At 48.6% G+C, this 25,472-nt stretch overlaps 1 protein-coding gene across 4 annotated transcripts in view, besides 2 other annotated features; it reads right to left on the bottom strand.

Moving 5' to 3' along the window:
* The window catches only part of STRA8 (stimulated by retinoic acid 8), a 26,749-nt gene extending 1,277 nt beyond the window's left edge, over positions 1 to 25,472 (bottom strand). Inside the window, exons 1-8 of one of the 4 annotated variants that reach the window (NM_182489.3) lie at positions 25,349 to 25,472; positions 16,671 to 16,868; positions 14,531 to 14,606; positions 13,977 to 14,061; positions 12,058 to 12,084; positions 10,685 to 10,970; positions 5,518 to 5,591; positions 2,162 to 2,273 (exon numbers count right to left, since the gene is read on the bottom strand). In NM_182489.3, coding sequence (NP_872295.2) covers positions 2,162 to 2,273; positions 5,518 to 5,591; positions 10,685 to 10,970; positions 12,058 to 12,084; positions 13,977 to 14,061; positions 14,531 to 14,606; positions 16,671 to 16,862 — 852 coding nt within the window. In that variant the 5' untranslated portion in view covers positions 16,863 to 16,868; positions 25,349 to 25,472. Of the gene's footprint in view, positions 1 to 2,161; positions 2,274 to 5,517; positions 5,592 to 10,684; positions 10,971 to 11,859; positions 12,100 to 13,976; positions 14,062 to 14,530; positions 14,607 to 16,670; positions 18,388 to 23,483; positions 23,550 to 25,348 lie in introns of those variants that run through there. The other 3 variants (NM_001394401.1, XM_047420324.1, XM_011516137.3) reach the window with 3 other exon arrangements.
* Positions 6,704 to 6,854: a silencer, noted in NCBI's record as "fragment chr7:134935285-134935435 (GRCh37/hg19 assembly coordinates)". NCBI's record gives its function as "represses an EF-1alpha promoter that drives an FKBP-Casp9 reporter gene in an ReSE screen in HepG2 liver carcinoma cells and K562 erythroleukemia cells {active_cell/tissue: HepG2 | K562}" and the evidence as "EXISTENCE:reporter gene assay evidence [ECO:0000049][PMID:32094911]".
* Positions 20,509 to 20,718: an enhancer, noted in NCBI's record as "active region_26713". NCBI's record gives its function as "activates an Ori minimal core promoter by ATAC-STARR-seq in GM12878 lymphoblastoid cells {active_cell/tissue: GM12878}" and the evidence as "EXISTENCE:reporter gene assay evidence [ECO:0000049][PMID:35858748]".

Raw genomic sequence — 25,472 nt, 5'->3', positions numbered from 1 at the left:
CCCAGCCAACACCTCAGGACTCTCCATGACTTCTTCCTCTAAAAATATGTTCCTGAGGCTTTGCTCCTTCTGTCTGTCTCCATCCTAGCAGAAAATGACCCCTGTAACTTGTCAGCCCTGCAGATCAGAGTTGATCCCCATGGAACCAGGTGGCATCCCTGACCCCAGTCAACCATCTAATGAATGTGGGACCTGGTCCCAAGGGTGATATCCTCATAGTGGGGACGACCTCCACAAACTGAGCCTTTCCTGCCCTGGAGAAGCAGTTCCCATTCACCATGCTCTCCTGATAGGGGCAGGGAAATAGGGATCAAGAGTGTCAGGGAGGTGGGACCACAGTCTCCAGGCAAATCTTGTGGGCCCCTTGTTCAGCAGGAAGACAGTGGCAGAGGTTGGGAGGAGAATGCAACTTTTCTGTTTACACCAGAGTCTATCAAAGCCTGAGTCCTCCTGCCCCAGAGCCACTTGGACAGCTCATTCCAAATGCAGATTTCTGGGGCCCGTTCTTGCAGCACTGAGGCATCGGGAATCTAGGAGTGCTGAAGTTTGGCATCTTTGCTTTGTTCTGTTGTTGTTGTTGTCTGGAGAGAGTCTCACTCTGTTGCCCAGGCTGGAGTACAGTGGCTTGATCTCAGCTCACTGTAACCTCTGCCTTGTAGGCTCAAACAATCCTCCCAACTCAGCCTCCTGAGTAGCTGGGACTACAGGCATGTACCACCACACCCAGCTAATTTTTATATTTTTTGTAGTGGTGAGGCTCTGCCATGTTGTCCAGACTGGTCTTGAAATCCTGGGATCAAGTGATCTGCCCACCTCAGCCTCCCAAAGTGCTGGGATTCCAGGTGTGAGCCACTGCACCCGGCCATACCTTTGCTTTGTATGGATACAAGAATCCCTGCTTGTTATCTTTTCTGCCATATATGGAGAAGGAGGGGAGGCAAAGATTGTCCTTTTCGTCTATTCTCAAAGTCTTGATAAAGTGGGCTAATTTAACTGTATCTGAGAGAAAGAGGGGACAACTGGTCCAGGGGACTGTCACCCAAGGATTGGTGGGAAGGGGAGAGCAAACTGCAAGGAAGGGCTCCACATAAGGATTCACTGTGGTCCCAGAAGAAGGAAATGAAGACTTAGTTGGAAAAGGGCAAGTTATACCTTAGCCTATTGAACAGGTGTCTTGACTATTTTTAGACAAACATTTGCTATTATTATAACTTACCTTTTAAATAAACAGTTGTATTATTGCTAAACTAGTAAAGAAAAATCCATGGCTATGAATTTGAAAGGACCTGTCCCCTTGTGGCTCAGGTATAACCCCCCTTCTCTGACAAAAGCTTCCAGGAATGGCCCTCCTAACCAAGAGTCCCACTGCTCATATCACTGTAAGTGGAACAATTTGGAAGCAGACATTAATATCCTTCAAAAGCTGACAGCAAATATTACCGAAGGTGATGAAGACTGTAGAAGATGATGAAATAGCCCAGCGTTTTGGGAAGGTGTCAAAGGTTCACACAACATTTATGAATGCCTGCTGAGAGTCAGGCCCCTGGGATCGGGTTCCTGCTTCAAAGGGCTCCCAGTCAAGGTCTGCCTTAGAGCAGTGGTTCCCAACCTTTATGGCACCAGGGACCAGTTTCACGGAAGACAATTTTCCCACAGACCTGGGGGGCAAGGGTGGTTTCAGGATGAAACTCTTCCACCTCAGATCATCAGGCATTAGTCAGATTCTCATAAGGAGAGAGCAACCTAGACCCCTTGCATGAGCAGTTCATAATAGGGTCTGCACGCCTATGAGAATCTAACGCTGCCACTGATCTGACAGCAGGCAAAGCTCAGGCTGTCATGCTCACCCTCTGCTGTGCAGCTGTGTTCCTAGCAGGCCATAGATCTGTACTGGTCTGTGGCCTAGGAGTTGGGGACCCCTGCCCTAGAGGACACTTCTCTGTCTTTCCTGTTTCCCTGGCTATCTTCCATTCATTCTACAGGATGCATCAGGCTGAAGGTGACCATTCATGGAGCAAGCCAGAGAGAATGGAGAGTGTCCCTGCCCAGTGGCTCCTCATGGTATGATTGGGGTGAGTTCTGGTTAGGGCTGCCCTTAAGAGCCCTTTTTGCTATCTAAGCAAGGTGGGCAGAGGTACCACGGCCCTCTACTCCATCCTACCTGCTTTACTTGAGTGTTTGCACAGCTAAGGCCTTTAAAAAAGTTGATGATCTGCATATAGAGCTGAAACTTCTCCTCTGGGTTTTCTGGGTTGCAGCTGGCAAGCACTGAACTGACAACAGAAAGGAAGAAAAGGCAACAAATATTCAGGATCCTGATCTTTCAACTCTGCTTCCCCCTCCCCTGAAAGATTTGGGTTACAGTATGAACCAAGCACATGTAAATTCTCAGACAGCCCAGACCTCTCCTTGAAAGGTTTGTGTTACCTCTGCTCACATATCATGTCTGGAATCCCCTGGAAAATCGAGACTGTGGTGAGACTGGCTCCTGTGCCCTAATTTAGTGTTCTGAGCTGTGGCCACTGGAACAAGGGAACGAGAGTTCCTCTATCCCTCAATCTTCTGCAGAATGCCCCCACAGTTCTGGTTCCACTGTGGCTGCTGAGGCAGCTCTGGAGCACGCCGCACATCTTGAGTTCAGTTCACTGAGTTGCCACTGCTCAGTGGGTCTAACGTGGAACTCAAGCCCTGGTGCAGAAAGGAGGCCTGTTGTGCAGGCTCTTTTCCTCCTGCCTGCCTGGGACAAGGGGAGAAGCCCTGTGTGACTCGAGCTTATGTCACCATAAGCAGCACAGTTTGGAAGCAGACATGAAAATCCTTCAAAAGCTGACAGCAACTGTTATTGCAGGGCCTCAGAAGATGATGAGTTAGCTCAGCCTTTAGGAAAGGTGGCAGGGGCTCGTGCAACATTTAGGAATGCCCGCTAAGAGCCAGGCCCTGCAATGTGGACCCTGCTTCAAAGGGCTTCTTAGAGCACAGAGGCTGTGTGTCTGTAGGACAGCTGGCACTCACTCACTGTGAGTCAGCAGGCAGCCCTCACTTCCTCCCGGGATGAGGAACCCTCTGGCAGCAACCCCTGACTTTTCTAGGGGAAGTGGAACATTTTTAATAGGTTGTTTTTCTGTTCCATCAGCAGGGCAGGGAGTTCTGAATATTGCCTGGCAAGGACAGGCTGGCAGCTTCTCGATGGTTGTCTTTGCAGTCCAAGCTCAGCACAGAAACAGGAATGTGTCTTCCAGCCAATTGCAGCAAAATGAAACTCCACTCACAGCTGAGAAGCACTTGAGTCACTCTGTAAGGTCGATTTGGAGAGGACAAAGCCCTCCTCTGACAATCCCACTTCTCCCCAAGTCCATCTAGGCCTGGGTGGAACAGGGAGAATGGAGGGAAAATGTTGATGTGTGGTTTCCCTGAAGCTCTGCTGAAAGGCCAGCTGGGTTACTAGGGACAGCTGTGGCCCCAAGGCCTCACAGGCACCCATAGGCCAGGCTCCCCTTGAGAGGACAATGAGATATTCATTGGGATCACAAGGATATGTCCCTCTCACCCCCAAAGCAGAAAAATAAATGTCCAGGATTCTTTTTAGCCATGATAGCAGCACAGGTATCTGAAGAACCTGTGCCTTCAGGCTCTAAGACCACAGGTTTTTCAAGCAAAGCAGCAAGGGAATTTCAGTCCTAAAGGATTTCTCTCAGAAAACACACCTTTGGGACATTGTTAGTCACGCTGCTTCTTGTTTTAAAATCTTTTCACATCCTATTTTGTGTCTTCCCACTTCATGGGGTCAGCTATCCTTTTCTCCCCTCCTTCCATATCCGTTCCCATCAGCACCATGAAAAGCAGCAACCCCCCTTTGCAGAACTCAGAGAGTCCCCTAAACTCAGGGCCCATGCCTATTTGCATGTTGGCCCTTATTCTCTGTGCCCCAGAGCCCCCTCCCCGCCTTCTCCTTCCAGGTCAGCTGGGAGAACCTGCCCGCAAGCTGCCCTGGGTGCTAGAGACCGATGGATTGTGTTCTTCCGAAATTCATATGCTGAAGCCTAATCCCCAGGGTGATGGTGTTAGGAGGTGGGGGACTCCGGGAGATCATAGACTAGGGCATGAAGATGGGCCCCTCATGATGGGATTAGTGCCCTTATAAAACAGGCCCCAGAGCCAGGCGCTGTGGCTCACGCCTGTAATCCTAGCATTTTGGGAGCCGAGGTGGGTGGATCATCTGAGGTCAGGGGTTCGAGACCAGCCTGGCCAACATGGCAAAACCCTGTCTCTGCTAAAAATACAAAAATTAGCTGAGCATAGTGGCATGCACCTGTAATCCCAGCCACTCGGCAGGCTGAGGCAGGAGAATCACTTGAACCCAGGAGGCGGAGGTTGCAGTGAGCCAAGATCACACCACTGCACTCCAGCCTGGGTGACAGAGTGAGACTCTGTCTTAGAAAAAAAAAAAATTTTTTTAAAGAAAGAGGTTCCAGAGAGATTCCTTGCCCCTACACCATGTGAATTTTATCCAGAAGGTGCCGTCTGTGAAAAACCGAGCCTCTGACTCTGCTGGCACCTTGGTCGTAGACTCCCCAACCTCCAGAACTGTAAGAAATACATTTCTGTTGTTTATAAGCCATCCAGCCTATGGCATTTAGTATATAATGGACTTAAGGCAGGGATACAGCAGCCCTCAGTGGAGGTTAGCAGGACTAACACACACTGGGAATGGGGTGCAAAGTGAACAGATGAGTTTCCACAACCTACAGCTGATAACCTGGTATGTCCCAGCCCTGCGCCAGGATGGAAGAATTTTCTACTCTGAAGATGCCACAGATAGTGTCATCCCCAGGGCAATGACACAATCCTAGGACCAGCTCACTTCCAATCACAGAAAAAAGGTGGATCCCCAAGAATACCCACTGAATTAGGCACCAGATCTGATTTGGCTCTGTGTCCCCACCCAAATCTCCTGTTGAATTATAATCCCCATGTGTTGAAGGAGGGGCCTGGTGAGGGGGTGTGTGATTGAATCATGGAAGTGGATGTCCCCCTTGCTGTTCTCATGACAAGAGTTCTCACAAGATCTGGTTATTTGAAAAGTGTGTAGCACTTCCCCCTTCACTCTCTCTCCTGTCACCATGTGAGGATATACAGGTTTCCCCTTTGCCTTCCACCATGATTGTAAGTTTCCCCAGCCATGCCTCTTTTACAGCCTGTGGAACTGTGAGTCACTTAAACCTCTTTTCTTTATAAATTACCCAGTCTCAGGTAGTTCTTTGTAGCAGTGTGAGAATGGACTAATACAACACCCATCTAGGGACTGCAGAGGAGAGGCCCCTGAACACCCCAGCAGGGGTGCACACACACACACACACACACACACACACACACTCTCTCTCTCTCCCTCTGTCTCCTCTCTCTGTCTCTGACTTACCACATTCATGCACATGCAAACTCACACATACACACCTGCGCACACACAATCTCACATCCACCCACACAGGGGCACATGCTATCTCACACCCTCTTCCTCACCTGGAGCTAGATGTACTCGGAACCTCACTTTTGTCCAGGAAGCTTGCCACATCAAAGGCATCCTCAAAAAGGATCTGAAAGAAAGCACAACACTTCATGTGTTGGAAATAACTTGACAATTTCATGCTTGCCCTGGGCTGCTGGGGAGAGATGAGTGGAAAGGCTCTCTCTTTACACATACCCCAGAGGGCATGCATGTCAGAGCTGGGGCCCACACCCAGGGGCTCTGCTTGCTGTTCTTCCTAGGGGGTAAATGCTAAACTCTAGAGTGCCCAGGACAAACTGCCAACCCTGGAGGTGGCTGTGAGGGACAGGAAGAAATGGGGATTGTGATTCCTCTTGCCGACGAAGGTGGGAGCTCAGGTGTGAGATGCAATTACCAGAGCCTCAGTTTACCACTGAGAAAAACCTCATCAAAACTTCCCAAGGCGCACAGATTATTGGAGCCCAGGGTCCCCAGTCTAGCTGTCTCATGCCAGGACAGCTGAATCCAGAGGGTCAGGAAGGCTCTGGGTTAGGCTGCAGGCAGGCCAACTCCCAGGCCTGTGTCCCTTGCTAGCTGTGTGACCTGGGACAAGTTACTTCATCTCACAAATCCTCCTCTATAAAACAGGAATCACATTAGTGTCTACTCATAGGGCTATTCCAAGAATTAAGTAAGATAATGTATGTGAAGTATCTAGTTACATTTGAACATTATCCACTTTATAACAGACATACCTGGCACATAATTGAACATTATCTGCTTTATAAGAGACATACATGTTCATTGTGGAAATTTTGGAAAATAGAAACAGATCAAGAAAATAAGAATTACTGAGAAACAATCCCACCCAGATATCCATTGTTGACACATTGATCTAATTCTCTCCAGTCACTTCCCTAGGTCTATAATATATATTTCCAATTTGGAATCTTGCTATTTAGACAGTTTTTCATCCTGCTTCCCCCTAATGTGTTAGAGAATATTAAATATGTTACAGAAACATGATTTACACTTACATGACTGCCAGATTTAGCAAATACAAATACGGGATGCCTAGTTACATTTTGAATTTCAGATAAAGAATGAATAATTTTTAGTATAAGAATGTTTTGAATCATGCATGGGACGTTTTTGTATTAAAAATTGAACTGGGCATGCTTTACTTTAACTGACATCTCCTTTGCACTGGCAATCACGCCTAGGAGAGGAGAGGAAGTTCTCTGACCCTGAGTTGGCAGGTACTGGCAGGTTCCGCCAGGGTCTCTCCTCTCCTCTTCCCTTCCTGCAACACACAGCTCTTCCAAGAGGATTGGTGTCTGCCCTTTCTGTCTTCCTTCAATTGACTTCCTGGAACTGAATCCCTTGGGACTCTGGCCCCTCTCTTAGTTTTCCGGACATTTTCTGTTGTCCTTCTACTTGATATCTCTGTGGTCATTTCAAAGAGGATCTGGAAAGGGGCCACAGAAAGACCTGTGCTTCAGTGTCCATCAGCTCTGAAGCCTATCAGCTACATGTTGCTCCCTGGCAGGCCTGAAACAGGGACCCAGAACTGAAATCCCTGTCCTTAAGCAATCAGCCCACCAAAGTCGCAGGCCACACATTGTGCTCACCTGTGCAAATCCCCCTCACAAGCCAGCCTGAGAGGGGACCCCAGACCAGGCTCCACAGCCTTTCCAGAGTGCCACCACACTCACAGGGAAGCTCATGTCTGAACTGAAATGGAGCATTCCAGAGCCTCCTGGGCCCATCTGACCGTGCTGCTGGCCTCTAACACAACAGTTCTGCAGCAGAACCTCTCCAGGTGGACCAGGGGCTGCAGTGGTGTCACTGCTCAGCAGGAGTAACTGTGGCTTTGTCCCTGCCTCGGGCATGGGAGTTCTCTGTTCTGCCTACCTTATCGCCCAGCCCTGGCCTGGCCTAAACCTGGGCACAGCAGTGCAGGCAGAGCCCTGCTTCTGGCCACAGCTGAGGGAATCTGCTGCCAGCTTCCCTTAATACCCAACAAACATCAGCCCATAGGCCTCCCTGAAAAACCCAGAAAAGCTGTTTCCATGATTTGGAGACATTAGATTCTGGTTGTTTTCTCTTTGGATGTGTTCTTCCTGGGGAAGTGTTCGTGCTGGCACAGTCAAATTTGGCAGAATTGCTCAGGCATTTGGTAGATACTGTCATGCATCACTTACTGATGGGGATAAGTTCTGAGAAATGTGTCCTTAGGCAACTTTGTCATGTGAACATCACAGAGTGTATTTATGCAAACCTAGATGGCATATATACATATATTTATCTTTTCTTTTTTGAGACAGAGTTTTACTCTTGTCACCCAGGCTGGAGTGCAATGGTGTGATCTCGGCTCACTGCAACCTCCACCTCCCAGGTTCAAGCGATTATCCTGCCTCAGCCTCCAGAGTAGCTGGGGTTACAGGCACTCGCCACCACGCCCAGCTAATTTTTGTATTTTTAGTAAAGATGGTGTTTCACCATTTTGGCCAGGCTGGTCTTGAACTCCTGACCTCAGATGATCCACCCACCTTGGCCTCCCAAAATGCTGGAATTACAGACTGGCATCACCACGCCCAGCCCATATATTTATTTATATATATTTTTTCATATGGAAAACCAAAAATCCAAGTTCCATTACTGAATATCAATTATTTACCCTACTTGATGTGCAATGCCAATATCGAGTGCCATATATCAGGTTTCCATATATGCTCCATTATCATCTTATGTGACCACCATTGTATAGGTGGTCTGTTGTTGCCCAAAACATCTTTATGTAGCCCATGACTGTATTTTCCTTTCGTTTTCTTCATGTGAGACTCCAGGGCTTGGCACTTTGGGGCTGTAAACACATCTGTTTGGCTGCCCTTTCATACAAGCCTTGGGTATGAGGTCCTAATCTTCTGGCTTTTTTTGAGCCATCATGGAACAGAACGCATGTCTTCTCATGGTGGACCCAACATCAGAGGAAAACCAGATCAGAAGCCACAGTCTGGTGGACCCATGTTCGGGGGTCGGGGAAAGGACCAAGGCAGTAGCTGGTAGGCCATTGAACATCTGCACTGGGAGTTCCCTCCAATAGGACCTACTGCACTAGCCACGAGGGAAGCTTGTTAAAAATGCAATTCCTGAGGCCCCACCCTCAGAGGCTCTGATTCAGTGTGTCTGGGATAGATAGAGTCTTGCTGTGTTGCCAGGCTGGAGTGCAGTGACACAATCATAGCTCACTGCAGCCTTGACCTCCTGGGGTCAAAGGATCCTCCTGCCTCAGCCTCCTGAGTACCTGGGACTACAGGTGTACCACCACCACACCTTTTTATTTTTTTTTAGTTTTTAGTAGAGACGCAGTCTCACTGTGTTGCCCAGGCTGGTCTCAAACTCCTGGGCTCAAGCATTGCTCCCACCTTGCTCGGCCTCCCCAAGTGCTGGGATTACAGGTGTGAGCCACTGCGCCCAGCCAGGCACCTGACTTTAAAAAAAAACTCCACAGGTGATTCAGTTGAGAAGCATCAGGGGAGATAATGGAGGGTTGACCATCAACAGGTGACCAAAGGGCAGAGTAATGTGAAAAAATGTGTGATGACAGAGACACAGTCACTGAAGCAGGAGCTGGGAGTTCTGGGCAAGTCACACTGCTGGTTAGGCCTGCAAACTGGAAGGACAGGAATGGGTGACATCTCTGTCGTTCTCCAGGCTTGGGCCTGATAGCTGAGGAACCTTCTAAAAAACGGAGGCATTCCAGGGCTGTAACTCCAGGGTCAGAGACAATCGGACGCTCTCTGGCCCTAAGGCTCCACAGAGAGACTCTGGGAAACTAGCATGTCGTCTCCTCAAAGGCGCCCCGACTGAGGAGCATTTGGAAAGTCAGGGCAAGGGGGTGGCCTGTATCAGGCGGAAGCCATGGATGCTAAATGTCCACGAAGCACAGGGCATGTGCAGAATGCGAATCGGCTGCGCCTGGGCTAGAGGAGCGAGCGTGGGCCGTGTGGTAGAGCAGTGTTCTGAGGCCGTCCTCATACTGGAAGAGCAGCTGTGGGCCCACTTTTATCTCCGTGCAGGGCGACCTCAAATGCTACCTGATGCTCTGCTTTGCAGACTATGGCCACGGCCATTCTGACTAGCGTTCTGAAAGCTGAGAAATGCATTTACGGTAGCAGTTGTGGTAACCTCCCCTTCACAGAGCGATCCCAGTGCTCTTTGGGGTGGGAACTGACGGCCTTTCAAGGGCTGGACCTGATTGGTCCAAGTGTGATTCCCTCTATGGCCAGTCATTGGCTCAGCAGGCTGGCAATTTGGCCAGTTCCAACCAATGAGAGGGGAGGAGCGGTTCCGGAAAAGTTCTTCCTTAACTCTTAAGAAAGAGCTTTCGTAGGAAATCTTTGTCTTACCTGATGTAGAGTAGGAAGAAAGACAGTTCGATTGCTCTAGCTGCCATTCCATAGCCACAGGAGCCGGAGGAGGTGGGGAGGGCAGGGAAAGATAAGAAACTGAGCAGAGCCAAGAGAGGCCTGAATCCACGCGGACATGGTGAGCTCCTCTGCCTGCCTCGGACCTCCCCGGGTGTGAGGAGTGCATTTCTTCGTGGTTTAATAATCCAGGCCCTGGCAGCCCAAAGAATCCCAACTGAGACAACCTCTCAAGACTTGTCTTCTGCCATCCCCAGGGAAAGGCCAGGAAACTAACCGCAGAAAAACAAATACTGTTCCGTGACCCCAGGGATTAGAAAATCAGAAACCGGCCGGGCGCGGTGGCTCACGCCTGTAATCCCAGCACTTCGGAAGGCCGAGGCGGGTGGATCACGAGGTAAGGAGATCGAGACCATCCTGGCTAACACAGTGAAACCCCGTCTCTACTAAAAATACAAAAAAATTAGCCGGGCGTGGTGGCGGGCGCCTGTAGTCCCAGCTATTCGGGAGGCTGAGGCAGGAGAATGAGGTGAACCCGGGAGCCAGAGCTTGCAGTGAGCCGAGATCGCGCCACTGCACTCCAGCCTGGGCGACAGAGCGAGACTCCGTCTCAAAAAAAAAAAAAAGAGAAAAAAGAAAATCAGAAACCGACCTTGGGAGCCAGAAGGCAAACTGCACCTCCAACCTGCTAAATGCAAAGCCCTGGTGTCCCCAGGCGAGGGCGAGGGTGGTTCCCGTGCCCCATCCACGCCACCCCGGTGGGCCTGCTCACCTCCTCGGGCGTGGAGACCAGCGAGCAGCTGGCCCCCTGGCTGTCCACGCCGCTGTCCTTCACGCTGCCCTCGGCACAGGCCGGCTCTCGGCAGGCCTCCGCCAGGGTCGCAGGGCCGCGGTGCTTCTGCGCCCAGGCCTGCCGGAGGCTGGCCTTCCTCTCCTCCGAGAGGTTCTGCCACAGGTGGGAGATGGCCGCGGAGACGATGGGCAGCGCCGCCTCCTGCGGGGTAATGATCCCGCTGCCAGTCAGAAGGTCCATCGTCTGTTTGTAAAAGTTGAGATACCTGGAACAGAAGCGGCGCCGTCTCGCACCCCTAAAGCTCCCTCTCGAAGCGATTCGGGATTCGGTTCATGGTGTGGACCCCAGCACGCAGGCCCGGCCACGGCGCCACGGCTCACCAGGGCTGAGACTTCTCAGACTCTGCACGCCCCTGGCCCTTGGAGAGCAGCAGCCTTCCTGGGGGCCATGAAGGACATAGACTTGGGCTTTGGGGCCCCTCCCCAAGTTCTCCCAGTCCCTGCCCCATGAAGCCTTCTGTGTTAGACAGAAGCAGATAAGAGGCGTAGCTGCCTCAGCTCTCATCCTAAGGGAATATTCTTGAAAATTCTGAGCCCATGAATGTGCTGGCATGATAGGACTCCAACTTTAACCTGCAGCCCGAAAGTCAGGCTCGGCTGTGGAGAGAGCCTCCTGCTATTGAGCCAACTCCTCTGGAAGCCAACATGGCTGCTGAGGGGCTTTGAGTCTATGGAGGAGGCAGTGGCAAGGGACGTCTGAGCCAGCCATTCGCCATCTTTCCTACTGTAAGAGCAGTGCGGACTTGTGGGGGTATGTGTTTTGGGGGAGAGAGGGGTTAGCCCTCATAATCACCATCAGCTGTGCCCCCCACAAGGCACCCCAAATAAACACCCAGTCTCAGTAAAAACACTGTATGAGTGTATGTGCTATGCTAATGTAGCTTTGAGACTATTTCTCTAGCCTCTCTGCCAGTCCTGTCCCTCAGCCCCTCCCATATGAAAATCCTGGAGATTTCGTGATTCAGGGCCTAGTCTGAACCATGCACTCCAGCTGGGGCACACAGCTGCAGCATACCCCAGCCAGAGCCTCTGTCCCCTTCCCCATGGGAGGGAGCTCCATGGGTGCACAGAGCCACCCCACCCAACTGTTCACACCGTTCAAATTCCATGAGGTCAGGCGACAAAGTTCCTGGGGAGTATAAGATCACTTTTTTCTCCTCTTCCTCCTCCTCCTCTTCCTCTTCCTCCTCTTCCTCCTCCTCCTCTTCTTCTTCCTCCTCCTCTTCTTCTTGATCTTCCTCTTCCTCATCTTCCTCCTCCTCAGCATCCTTCCTGACTGCCTCAGTTGGGCACCAAGGGGAGGAACCATTCTGAGGAAAACTGTTTGAAAGCAGGCTGGGAAAGAAAACAGAAACAAGACAACTATAGATTAATATCCCTCATGAACATGGACAAGAAATTCTTAGCAACTTTAGCAAGTATACATGTATATGTATGTGTGTGTGTGTAGGTGTACACATCATGACCAAATGAGCTTTTTCCTAGGAATGCAAGAGAACTGGTTCAACATTTGAAAATCAATCAATGCAATTCACCATATCAACAGACTACAGAAGAAAAACCTCAATAGATGCAGAAAAAGCATCTGACAAAATCAACATCCATGCATGATAAAAACTCTCAGCAAACTAGGAATAAAAAGGAGCTTTGTTAACCTGATAAAGGGTATCTCCAAAAAACCTACCGCTAACATCGTGCTTAATGGCAAAAGACAGTTTCCCCTCTTGATCAGGAATAAAATGAGACTGTCCACTCTTACTACTTCTATTCAAAATTGTTCTGGAGGTTCTAGACAGTCCAGTAAGGCAAGCAAAAAAAGGAATATACATTGGAGCAGAAGAGACAAATCTGTCTTTATTTGCAGACAGTGTGATTATCTGTGTAGAAAAATCTCAAATAATCTACACACATGTCATTAGAACCAAGAAGGGAATTTAGCAAGGTTGCAGAAGACAATATCAGAATATAAAAATGAATAATATTGCTACATAGTAGCAATGAACAGTTGGAAATTGAAATTTTAAAAAGCATCATTTACAATAGCATGAAAAAATGACATACTTAGTTTTAAACAAAAAGCTCAATCTATTAAAAACAGGATAAATTGGACTCATCAAAATTTGCAAATTCTGCTCTTCAAAAGACACCTTGAAGAGAATGAAACAATAGGATATAATTTGGAAAAGTCAGGACCTGCACCCAGGATCTCTTTATACTTAGAGGAATAATCCCCAAGGTAACATGTTGAGTCAAAAAAGCAAGCTCAGCTGGGCGTGGTAGCTCACACCTGTAATCCCAACACTTTGGGAGGCCAAGGCAGGTAGATACCTTGAGGTCAGAGTTTGAGACCAGCTTGGGCAACATGTTGAAACCCCGTGTCTACTAAAAATACAAAAACTAGCCAGGCGTGGTGGCAGGCGCCTGTAATCCCAGCTACTTGGGAGTCTGAGGCAGGAGAAGTTCTTGAACCTGGGAGGCAAAGGTGGCAGTGAACTGAGATCATGCCACTGCACTCCAGCCTGGGTGACAGAGTGAGACTCCGTCTCAAAAAACAAACCAAACCAAACCAAAAACAAAAACAAAAAACCATGAGATCATAAAAGTACATTTCTCAAATCAGTTTCTCCTTCAAAGTATGAATGTGACATTAATAATGTTCCCCTTTCAGCATTTGTGACACCTGGGTGTACCATGGTTCCTTTTCGTTGCTGAAGTTTAATTTAGCTTTTCTTAGGAGGCTTGGAATATAGACTGAGATTTGCATTTTCCTGATTGTCATATGTATCCTCCAAGAAAGACATTAGTTGTGGCTTTAAAAAATACATATAGAAAAAGCTATAATATAATGTAAACACTATGGGCTCATTTCTCTAAAGAATAATGTGCAACATTTTTTAAAAACTTGATGGATTTTCTTGAAAATTAACATTGATTTTCTTTGAGTTCTGGGACAATATATATTTTCTGGCTTTTGTGTATTTTCTGCATCTTCTGTGATAAGCATGTATCTTTTTATAATTGGGAAAAAATTGATGCATGTTGCTAGAATAAAAGAGAAACGAATGGTCTCCAGCATATGGCTGTTTTGAATGGTGAGCAGCAGCCCTGATGGTCCTGCAGGCTGGAGAGGAAGGGTGAGTTGCCACCAGACAGTACTGATGGCTGTGAGGACACAGCAGGTCCCCAGCTTCCTGGGGTTTGTGGTGTCTTACCTGTCATTTCCAGAATACATGCTGGCATATTCTTTCTTGACCTCCTCTAAGCTGCTTGCATGCCCATCTTCCAGGTTGAAGGATGCTATTGGGGAGTTGAAGACCAGGAACACAAAGAGAAAAGTCAGGCCTCTGTTGAGTCTCTCCCACCCTTCTGGCCCAGGTGGGCTGTGGGTGGGACCCTGAACCCTCCAGGGTCAGCATTAGGGAGACCAGGGTCCAGTTTTTCCTTCTAGGTGTGAAGGGAGAGCCTTAGACAAGCAGGAGCCCACTTTTCCTCTGGCCTCTGAAGATGAGATCAGGTGCCTTTGGCAGCACTCCAGTAGGGAACTCATCAGAGTCTCATGGCCTGGTGACTCTGGCCAGTCTTGCTGGACTGCAGGCTCACTAAGGACAGGGACCCTCAACATTGGCCCAAGCACAGTTCCTGGCACACAGTAGGCCCTCAATAAATATTTGTTGATTCATTGTAACCCAACTTCTGTTTTCAATAGAAAAACAGATCCAGTTTTCTCCAGGGAGGGAGATGGGGTTGGCAAGTAGTGCTCCATTACCTTTCAGCTTCAGCAAATTATCCAGGGTTTGCTCCAGTTCTGGAATATGACTCTTTGCCTTATTCAGAACCTGCCACTGAGGATAGACAGAGACAATGCTGAAAGCCAGCCTCTCACTGCAGAGACTGATTTTGTGGACCCAGGAATCCCTTCCCAGGGCTGAGGCCACGCTCCCTCAGATGCAAAGTCACATCCCTTAACCTTGTCAGTAAAAAGAATAGGAAGTTTGTTCTGATGCACAGGAGGCAGGAAGTTTTGTTTGTAGCCTAGAAGTGGGTTCTCACCGAAATGCCAAAGGATTTGGAAAGAGTTAAGCTTTGTTCAGCAAATTGCTAGTGCTGTAGAAAGGCAAATGACTACAGAGGCGGCTTGAAGGTGGAATAAGGAGTGATGGAAGAGGCGCATTCTGCATGAACGTCAACCCCAGGCTTGCACAAAGCAGAGCTAGACTTCAGCTCAGTGGTAACCCTGTGCAAAGGGCTAGTTAATATTAAATGTCCTATTCTCCCACTATTTTTATTTGCTAACTGCATACGCTCCAGATGATCTAAAAACTTATCAAATGCTGTCAACCTGAACTCTAAATTTCCCTCTTTCCCTTTTTCCCTCCCTCCCTCTCTCCCTCCCTCCCCTCCCTTCTGCTCCCCTCCCTCCCTCCCCCTTCCTTCCTTCCAACTTCCTTCCTTTTTTCCCTCCCTCCTTCCCTCCTTCCTTCCTCCCTTCCTCCCTTCCAACTTCCTTTTTTCCCTCCCTCCCTCCCTCCCTTCCTTTCCTTCCTTCCTTTTTCTTTCCTTCCTCCTCTTCTCTTCCTTCCTTCTTCCCTCCTTACTTCCTGTATGTAACATTATTAAAGTCAAAATGGTAACAGCAAGATTATTCAAAAACGAGCAATGCTAAAATGGTAACAGCAAGATTATTCAAAAACGAGCAATGCTAAATGTTGTTTGTTAGGCTGACCACCTATATCTGTCAGGGGCTGCATGCATCCCTTGGGCATGTACAAGGGCAAAACTATGTGGTAAGTCCCAGGGATACAGAGTACATAAGACAGTCCCCTCTCTCAGGGTGCTGACCTCTGACAGGGAAGACAAGCATGGAAACAACCCCTTATAACACAATATAGAATTAAGTAGGTACTAACAAGGGGTAGAAGCAAAGGGCTGTGAAAATGTACAAGGAGGAGGGAATAGTCCAACTGGAGGGGTCCAGAAGATTCCATGGAGCAGGGCAGCTGAGCAGAGTGAGCCAAGCCCAGCTTTGAAGTGTGCACAGAATCCCAAAGGCAGAGCTAACTGCATGAGCAGAGACACAGAGGCCATGAGAGGCAGGCCTGGCTCAGGGAACTGCTGCAGTGAGATGTGGCCAGAGTGTGGGGTGGGCATGGAGGGGGGACCCCAAAGCAGCTGGGGGCAGAGTAGCCTGGGATTTGACATTCTAGATTCCAAGGATTCTAGTGGTGCCTAAAAAGGAGACTTGAGGGGGCTGGAGTCACAGTGCTCTGCCAGGCCAAAGAGGAGGTGAAGGGAACCGCAGCTGCATGATGATACAGTGGATTGCAAGCTCCCTGAGCACTCCTATGTGTTTTGCTCTCCCCAGTCCCAGAGCTCATGTTGATGCTGTTGGGTCAGCAAAGACTTGGAACCAGGGGCTGACTGATTTCCAGCATCTTGGGCTTGTTCGTAGGGTGGAAAGATGATTGTCCACCTGCTGTGGTCTGAATGTTTGTGTCCCCCCAAAATTTAGTATGTTGAGACCCAATCCCCAATATGATAGTATTAAGAGGTGGGGGCTTTTGGAAGGTGATTAAGGTGATTGGTGCCCTTATAAAAGAGTCCTGAGGGAACCTGTTTGTCTTTCCCCCATGTGAGAACACAGCAAGATAGCCCTGTCTATGAACCAGAGAGCATGCCCTCACCAGACACCCAATCTGATGGCACCTTTGTCTTGGACTTCACAGGCTTCAGAACCTGGAGCAATAAACTTCTGTTGTTTATAAATTACCCTGTCTAGGGCATTTGTCGCTACCCCAGCAGAAGTGGCAGCTCCAGGCCAGTCCCTGCCTTGCAACACAGTCCCTCCACCTGTGAAAACGTCTCCTTCCCCGTGGAGATGTCCCCTCTCCTCCTCCAGGTCCCCATACCTTTGAGGCTATGAGATCAGACTGAGAGTACACTGTCTTCCTGAGGTTGTTGAAGAGCGCTGCCAGGGTGGCTCGGTGGCGGGCCTGGGACAGCCGTCTCCGGGCCACCCGATGCTCAAGCTCCTGCAGCTGTGCTGGCAGCTGGGGTGTTGCTCTGTCATGGGGATTGCTGTTTTCTTCAGGGGTTGCCATTATAAGCTGTAATGTAATAGTATGCTTTTTTTTTTGCCCTAGATAATAAAAATACAATATTAAAGGAAAAGGAAGGCAAATTGAGGCAGGCAGAAAGGAGGTACCCTTCCCAAGTAAAGGCCCCAAATTCACTCCCTCATGAATTCAGTTATTGGCAAGATTTACAGTGAGAGAAATTTGAGAAGTTTACAAAAGCCCTTTGAAGGTGATGTTGGTCAATTGCTAATTAAGAAAAGCAGATGGAGATTATACAGGGTCAACACAAATTCTGTTTTTGAAATTCAACTCCTAAAACTGCAAACCACCCATATAGGACTTAAGAGTTGAGGGGCCCTGGAACTTACCTGGAAAGGTTCCAACACATTGCAGATACTCACCAGACACTTGTTAATTTCAGGGGTTAATTTTACGCGTGGCCAAGGAGAGCAGCTGTACCCTGAGATCTCAGGCTTTACTTTAGTCTGTTCAAAGCTGAACAGGTACTTGTCCCCACTGTGAGGTCTTTTCTACCTCAAGAATGCCCCCTCTTTGATGTGGATAGTAGTTACACAGGTGTATGCATATGAAAAAAAAATCCCTCAAGGGGTACACTTTAGACTCGAGAATTTTTCTGTGATATACCTCAAGGAAAAACATAAAAAAGAAAATAAGAAAATTCACTTTACCACCTGTGCAAGCAAAAGTCACCTGACGACAGAGAACTGAAACCCATTTTGCCTTATCTTGCCTCTAGTGGGTTCTGGAGATGATCACTGTGTCCTTCTTTGTTACATCTGAGCTTACAAGCCAGAAGCCCTTCCCTAGGAGAGGCGATTCTGGGACTGACATGTAATTGTTTTAATAAGATACAGGGGCCAGGGCCTTTTACCTGAGCCATAGACCCTTCCATCAGGCCTCACCCCACTACTCAGAGATCTACTCCCCACTAGCCTGTCTGCTCTTTGGACAGGGAGGCTGCGACTTCGTCACTTCTGTACCCTCAGTGCGTAACACAGAGCCTGGCCCCCATTAGGTGCTCAGTACTGGAGTTTCTGGTGAATTACAGTGAGCGGTTTCTGCTAGGTCTACTCCCTGCTGAGCTCAGTCCATACAGAGACAATGCATGACCTCCGCCAGGGGTTTGTTAATTTTGAGGTATGTTAGTGTCACCTGCAGAGACTGTTGAAAATACACATGCCCAGGCCCTGCCTTGAAAACATCGGATCTGAACCCAGCGTGCAGCTCCCAGGGTGATTCCTATACTTTCACACTTTGAGAGCCACCGCTAACTCTTGATTTGTGTGTCAAGCATCACCCCAGCTGGCAGCAGCTGGAAACAATCTTCATTAAGGGGTTATGAGGAAGGGAGATGGAAGACACCTTTCCCACTATGCTATAGTATGGAAAATAGGCCAATGAGATGGTAAACCCAATCAGGCAGTGTGGGATGTTGAAACACTTTTTAGCTCAGAAAACAACTTCTCATCAATAATCTGGTCTTCCCCAGTGTATCAACTTTCCCTTGTTTTGCTTTTTGGAACAGGGCAGGAAGATGGGAACAGTGATGCTGTGGTTGCCCATGCTGGTCCGTGCATGTCTCTGTCACATCTGTTACCAGGAATTACACTGTGGTATCTTCCAAGGGAAAACAGCACCAATCTGCAGAGGCCCCTCAAGCCCAGCTCCAGGGTTATGTTAGATTAGAGCCTATGCCTTCATGGTCTTCAATTCCAGATACCAACTAATCTTTAATAGGAAGCAAAGTGAAACTGTGAAGATTTTGAACTGCCCAGGGAAAATGAGAACCTTTTGAACAGAAGAATATAGGTTTTTTTTGTTTTTTGTTTTTACTTGTTTAAATTAAGGAGCAACAGATGTGTCTGGACACCAGGGGATTTAGGTTAACATACAGAAAAAGGGAAGCGGGTGGGAAGCACTGTTCTAGATGAACAGAGATATAAAAATAACAGGGTCCTCCCAGGACCTCAAGTTCTCTAACAGTCTCAGGATACTAACACCAAAGGCCTCTGGGCTTGTAGGGAATCTGGAGTTCTCCCAATGCCAGTGCTGGGTGTCCTCCCTTCTGCCCAAACACGCTCAGCCTGAAATTCCTGGATGGCTGTGTGGACAGTTTCAGCCCTGGACAAGAGTGCAGTCCTCTGCCTCCCCCATAGGGGGCAGACTTCCCACCAGTCGCCTCTAGGAGCCGCCAGGGCTGCTCGCCCCTAGGGGCGGGGACAGCCCCAGAGCATGCTGGCCAAGCTGCCTGGAGCCGTGGCCTCCATCTTGCCTGCCCCCAGGCGCCCCCTGGTCAGGAGCTGGGGGAAATTTACACCCCCGCCCCCCCTTGGCTCAGGGAGGGGGCACACCGCAGGAAAGATGGGAGATGACCCTCCTACTCTGCTTTAAGGGCAGAATCAAGCGCTGGAGATGTTACTCTTAATTAGACCTTGAGCGATTTTCAATGTCTTCCCTCTAGATCCTGCCTCCTGTTCACTACTAGGAACCACTGTGCTATGTATGATCCGCACAAGGCATTCTTTCCTAGTTATTTCGATTGACTTGGAATTTTTTCCGTCTCTGTGGCCCTGACAGGGTCTTAGGTAGATCTTTGTTAGACTGAGCTCTTTTTTTTTTGTTTTGTTTTTTGTTTTGAGATGGAGTCTGGCTCTGTCGCCTGGGTTGGAGTGCAGTGGCGTGATCTCGGCTCACTGCAACCTCTGCCTCCCGGGTTCAAGCGATTCTCCTGCCTCAGCCTCCTGAGTAGCTGGGATTACAGGCGCCCACCACCACGACTGGCTAATTTTTGTATTTTTAGTAGAGACGGGGTTTCACCGTGTTGGTCAGGCTGGTCTCGAACTCCTGACCTCCTGATCCGCCTGCCTCGGCCTCCCAAAGTGCAAGGTTTACAGGTGTGAGCCACCACGCCCGGTGGACAGAGCTCTTTTTATCTAATAATACACTTGGGTCTGTCCCGTCAGCACCTGTGATTTGTGTGAAGGGCTGGCTCGCCTGGAAGAAGTGCCTCAGAAGTTACTGTCTAGGATGGGGAGAGGAGGGCAGGACCCTCCGCCTTATTCCAAGATTAGCCGTTTGGCTAGGAAGGGGGAATGAAACATACTGTGAAAGGGGGAGCTAACTATTGTAAAAATGAGATCAAGAAGTGATCTGTTACTTAAAAACAAAACTCGGCTCTCCTAAAAGCCCTCTGCAGTTGCAAAGTATGTCAAAGAAACTGCTCCCAGCAGTGTAAGGAATTATAGCAGTGTAGAGAAAACAGTCTGGAACTCTCCTCCCTAGGGCCTGGAACTGCATTTTAATAGCCTTGAAAACTCAGAATCTCCCAATTACCCCTTTGGTTTGCTCCCCTGCTCACCAATATTTATTCCATGACCCACTGCCCCTTCTTCCATCTATAATACCATCTCTCTCTGCCCCTGTCTTCAGTTTCTATGGATCTAGAGCCAACTTGCCCTTCCCAGTTTAAGTCCCAATTCCTTTAATGAGCTTCCCAGTCCCAGGCCACACTGGTTTCTAACTCAATCATGTTCTGGCAACAACTAAGAAAAATCTTTGATCGGCACCTGTGTGTCAAGCATCAGTTGTGTCCCTCCCAGGAAGTGGTACCATGCATAGACATAGATGATTAACTCAAGCTTCCCTTTCTTGGCTGCCTCTCCCACACTAAAACCACTAAGAATTCTATTGCCTGGACTACTAAGACAAAAATCTCCCAAGCGTGGGGATGGGCAGAGACACTGGGTTGAATGAGCTAAAGGAAAATAAAGATTAAGAGAAAATCTTGGTGGGTGGAGGGGAAATAACATCTTAGTTCCACCCTAACCCGAAAGACCTCTCTGTATCTCATTGAGAAGCCTTCAAAAATCTCTTTCAAGGTGATGTTGGTCAATTGCTAATTAAGAAAGGTAGTGAAGATTATATAGGGTGAAGAAGCTGGATATCCTATCCAGACTTGGAAAACTGGGCATGCTTGGAGAGGTGAATGTGAATGTTTGGGCATCTAAAATGAGCAAGAATTGAGGGAACTCAGTACAGAGATAGTAGTTTGAAGGAAGCTAATCTTAAGGATGATGCAGAGACACAGTCAAAGATGGGATGAGCTGGTAAAGGGAAAGGCAAGTTGGGTTATGGATTGGCTTGATACCTGGGTCATAACCACATCTTCAGGCTAACCAACCTTGTGACTTTGTGATTTTGGATGAGGCAAGAAATCTCTCTAGTTCACACACACACACACACACACACATACACACACACATATATATATATAAAGATGGGGTCTCACTATGTTGCCCAGGCTGGTCTTAAATGCCTGGGTTCAAGTGAACCTCCCGCGTCAGCCTCCTAAAGTGTTGGCATTACAAACATGAGCCACCACCTCTGGGCTCTAGTTCTTAAGGTTTTTTTTTTTCCTATTTCTTTTGAGATAGGGTCTCGCTCCATTGACCAAGCTGGAGGGCAGTGGCAAGCTCATGGCTCATTGCAGCCTCAAACTCCTAGGCTCAAGTAATCCTTCCACCACATCCTCCTGAGTAGCTAGGACTACAGACGTGCACCACTGGGCCTGGTTAATTTTTCTGTAGAGACAGGGTCTCACTATGTTGCCCGGGTTGGTCTTGAACTCCTAGGCTCAAATGATCCTCCTATCTTGGCCTCCCAAAGTGCTGGCTTTACAGGCATGAGCCACCATGTTTGGCCTTAATTTCTTTATCTGCATAAAGGAGGTAAAAATTCTTTAACTAGATTATAGTCTGAACGTTTTTATTTTTAAAAGGTCATGATCAGCTGGGCGCGGTGGCTCACACCTGTAATCCCAGCATGTTGGGGGGCCAAGGCGGGTGAATCACCTGAGGTAAGGAGTTCAAGACCAGCCTGGCCAACATGGTGAAACCCCGTCTCTTACTAAAAATAGAAAAATTAGCTGGCGTGGTGGCAAGCAACTGTAATCTCAGTTACTCAGGAAGCTGAGGCAGGAGAATCACTTGAACCCAGGAGTTGGAGGTTGCAGTGAGCTGAGATCGTGCCACTGGACTCCAACCTGGGCCACAAGAGTGAAACTCTGTCTTAAAAAAAAAAAAAAAGTCATGCTCATGATTCTATGAGTATCTGGAGCAATAAAAAAAAAAAAGCCACTCATAACCAATAGAAGTGGGGTATGGAGCACATAGCAGTATGAGAAGCTTCATCTTAAGGAATTTTGGAGACTTCCTTATGTTTATGAACAAATGTTTACTGAACACTCTCTCTGTGCAAAGCCCATTTATTCTGCAGGAAACTGGAGCCCAAAATAATACTAGGCCTTTCAGAATGGCCATAGCTCTAACATATTTTCCCCTTTAAAAAACGTATTGCTGCCCAGGCACAGTGGCTCTTGCCTGTAATCCTAGCACTTTGGGAGGCTGAGGCAGGAGGATCACTTGAGCTCAGGAGTTTGAGACCAGACTGGGCAACGTGGCCAAACCCCATTTCTACAAAAAATACAAAAATTATCTGGGCGTCATGTGCCTGTAGTCCCAGCCACCCAGGAGGCTGAGTTGGGAGGATCACTTGAGCCTAGGAAGCAGAGGTTGCAGTGAGCTGAGATCATGCTACTGCACTCCAGTCTGGGTGACAGAGTGAGATTCTGTCTAAAAGCAAACAAGTGAACAAAGAAAACCAAAACTTATTGCTGTGTTCGACCTTGTTCATGAGATCAGCTTGCCAAACATAACCTTTCAGTCTAACAAAGTTAGGAGGCAGCTTCGTTGATACCTTCTTCTAAAAGGGCATTTTGTGAGGATTAACACTGTCACATGACATATTTTTATTAATTGTCCTCTATAAAGCAGAGCATACTTTCATTACCACATATTTTCCTATTAAAACACTTTTTAATATCCACTCAGAGCTGACGTTTAAAAAACTCCCTAGACTAAACTTTAAAAAAAATGCCCTCACCTTCTCCAAATTTCAGAGAAATGTTCATTTTTAAGCATCAGTCCACAAAATATTTGAGTGTGATCCATTCTCATTAGCAAGCCCCAGACAGTATAATACACTGCATAATGTACTACAACCCACAGACAGCTTCCTTTGATTTTCTATCTATATCAAATTATGTAAAAATAATCCAGAATTGGCTGGGTGCCGTGGCTCCTGCCTGTAATCCCACACTTTGGGAAGCCGAGGTGGACGGATCACCTGAGGTCAGGAGTTCGAGACCAGCCCAGCCAACACGGTGAAACCCCTGTCTCTACTAGAAATACAAACAATTAGCCGGGCGTGGTGGCCCACACCTGTAGTTCCAGCTACTCGGGAAGCTGAGGCAGGAGAATCGCTTGAACCCGGGAGGCGGAGGTTGCAGTGAGCTGAGATCTCGCCATTGCACTCCAGCCTGGGTGACAAGAGCGAAACTCCGTCTCAAAATGATAATAATAATAATCATCATCATCATCATCATCATCATCCAGAATCACTCTCAAAAATGTAGGTAGCCACAGTGACGGATACAAAAGGCTCCTGTGAACCCCGCGCTAAAAGTTCACCTGTTAGGCTCCGCTGCACTGAATTCTTTCAAGTCTACACAAACACTCATATGCCCAAGGGCACCTTTCTGGAGAGGAGCGTTCAAAGGATACTTACTCGCCAACGGTGCACGCGACGTCCCCACTCCCGGGACAGCAGTCACCCGGCTTCGTGCGCCGGAGTGGGGATCGCGGTTCCTGTCTGGGTCAGAAAACAGACCTGGCACCTCGTTACAGGGGTGGGGACCAATCGCGGCCCTGTCCCTGGCCGCCACAGCCAATGGGGATGCGTGGTGACGGGCCAATGGGCGTGTGGGCAGTGGAAGAAACAGTGTTACAAGTTGTCCGAAGGCGACAGAAAAGGGAGGAGAGAGAAGAGGGAGGGGCGGGGCTGACTCACCTCGCAGGGTCGCGAGGGGTCAGGGAGGGGACCCTCGCGTCAGTAATCAGCTCGGGGGCTCCACACAGCCTTCATGTGTCCTCAGAGGACTAAGTAGATGCCCTCCAGCTGGTTCCACTCACCTGGCACTGGGCCCCAGTTTTCTCATCTCTCAAATGGGGCAATGCCACCAGCTTACAGGGTTGTCCTGAGGGTTACGGAAAACCCCTTAGATAAAGGAATCAAAATACCAGGCTCGCTGCCTCAAGCGAAAACATGAGAAAACGGCATGAAGGAAATAAACGCATAAAAGGGAGAAAGGGAAATAGCATTTTAAATAAGGCAGGAAGAAATAGAGGATGGGGGGAGAAAATGGGGTGGAGAGAAGGGACCTTTAATAGCTCAGATTAAAATATCAAGAATAAGAGAGAAAAGGGGTTCACTCTGGGTAGTAGGAAGTAGGTATTCTTTCAGTTTGGAAAAAAAATTCATTTTTCCTTCCCAAATATAGATGTACTCTCGTTTAGGCTTCTTTTTGCTTGTATGCTTATATCCTGCAATATTTCGTGATGCTCATGATCCCACTATATCTGGTTGACACTGGTGGGGGTACTAGCGAGGCCCTACACATTTGGTAGCAGATGCAGGACAAAGCCCCTTGAAGTGCCCGGCTCAGGGCCAGTGCACGGTGCAAGAAGCATGGCTCCGCCCAGGCGCCCCCTTGCTGCCATCTGATGGGTGAGCTCCTTCACTCCTGAGGCAGGGGTGAAACAGGGGTCACAGGCTTAGCAGGCGTAGCAGGGGATTCTGGATTAGAATCCACCTCGCAGGGACTGAGAGGACTATCAACGAGCCGCTACGGAAAGCACGCAGTAGGGTACCTGGGAGGCTTAGACACTCATGAAGTTTGACGTCAGTGAGATGATGTCCCACATATAAAGAAACCGTCACATAAAAACAGAAAAACCTTCCAGTAAGGGTCAATTCTCATTCTCCCCTTCTAGCATTTTTTTTTTCCTGAGACAGGTTCTCGTTCTGTCGCCCAGGTTGGAGTGCACTGCAGCCTCGAATTCCCGGGCTCAAGCGATTCTCCTGCCTCAGCCTCCTGAGTAGCCGGGACTACAGCCCCGCACCACCACACCATGCTAATTTTTAATTTTTTTGTAGAGACAGGCCTTTCTAGGAAAATTTAAAATGTTCATTTCACTCCAAAATTCTGCTTGGGTCGCTGCCCCATTTCTGGCTGTCACGCAGCCCTTGACCTAGGGTCGCTCAGGGCTTTAAGGAAATTGTCACCACCCCACTCCACCCCCACTCCCTGACTTTTCTCTCCTGGGCCTGCCCACACCTCCCACCACCAACCTCCCACCACCAGCCCTACCTGCCGTGTTGCTGGGGACCTAGGGGTTTGTGAAGCTCTGTCTTGGGGAGCCTTATCCTCGCACCAAGATGACACAGAGTGGTTTGGAAACTGACCTCTGACCTGCCTCAACCTTTCATGTAGTCACCCCACCTCCCGCCCCAACCACTGCCACACACACAAGCAGATGTGCACCCAGAAAAAATGTAGTCCTGGGGGGAAAGTTACTAAGAAGCTTATTTACCTGCCACAGCCTGATTTCTTGATTGAAAAAGAGGATCTTGTCCACATCAATCTTCCCCATAGCTGCAAGGCAGAAGGCTCTGCCATGAACACTGGGGGCCTCCTGGTGGCCTCTCACTAGCTCT

Source organism: Homo sapiens, chromosome 7 (assembly GCF_000001405.40).
Source record: "Homo sapiens chromosome 7, GRCh38.p14 Primary Assembly".
Taxonomy (NCBI): domain Eukaryota; kingdom Metazoa; phylum Chordata; class Mammalia; order Primates; family Hominidae; genus Homo; species Homo sapiens.
This window is presented reverse-complemented; position numbering and strand designations above follow the sequence as displayed.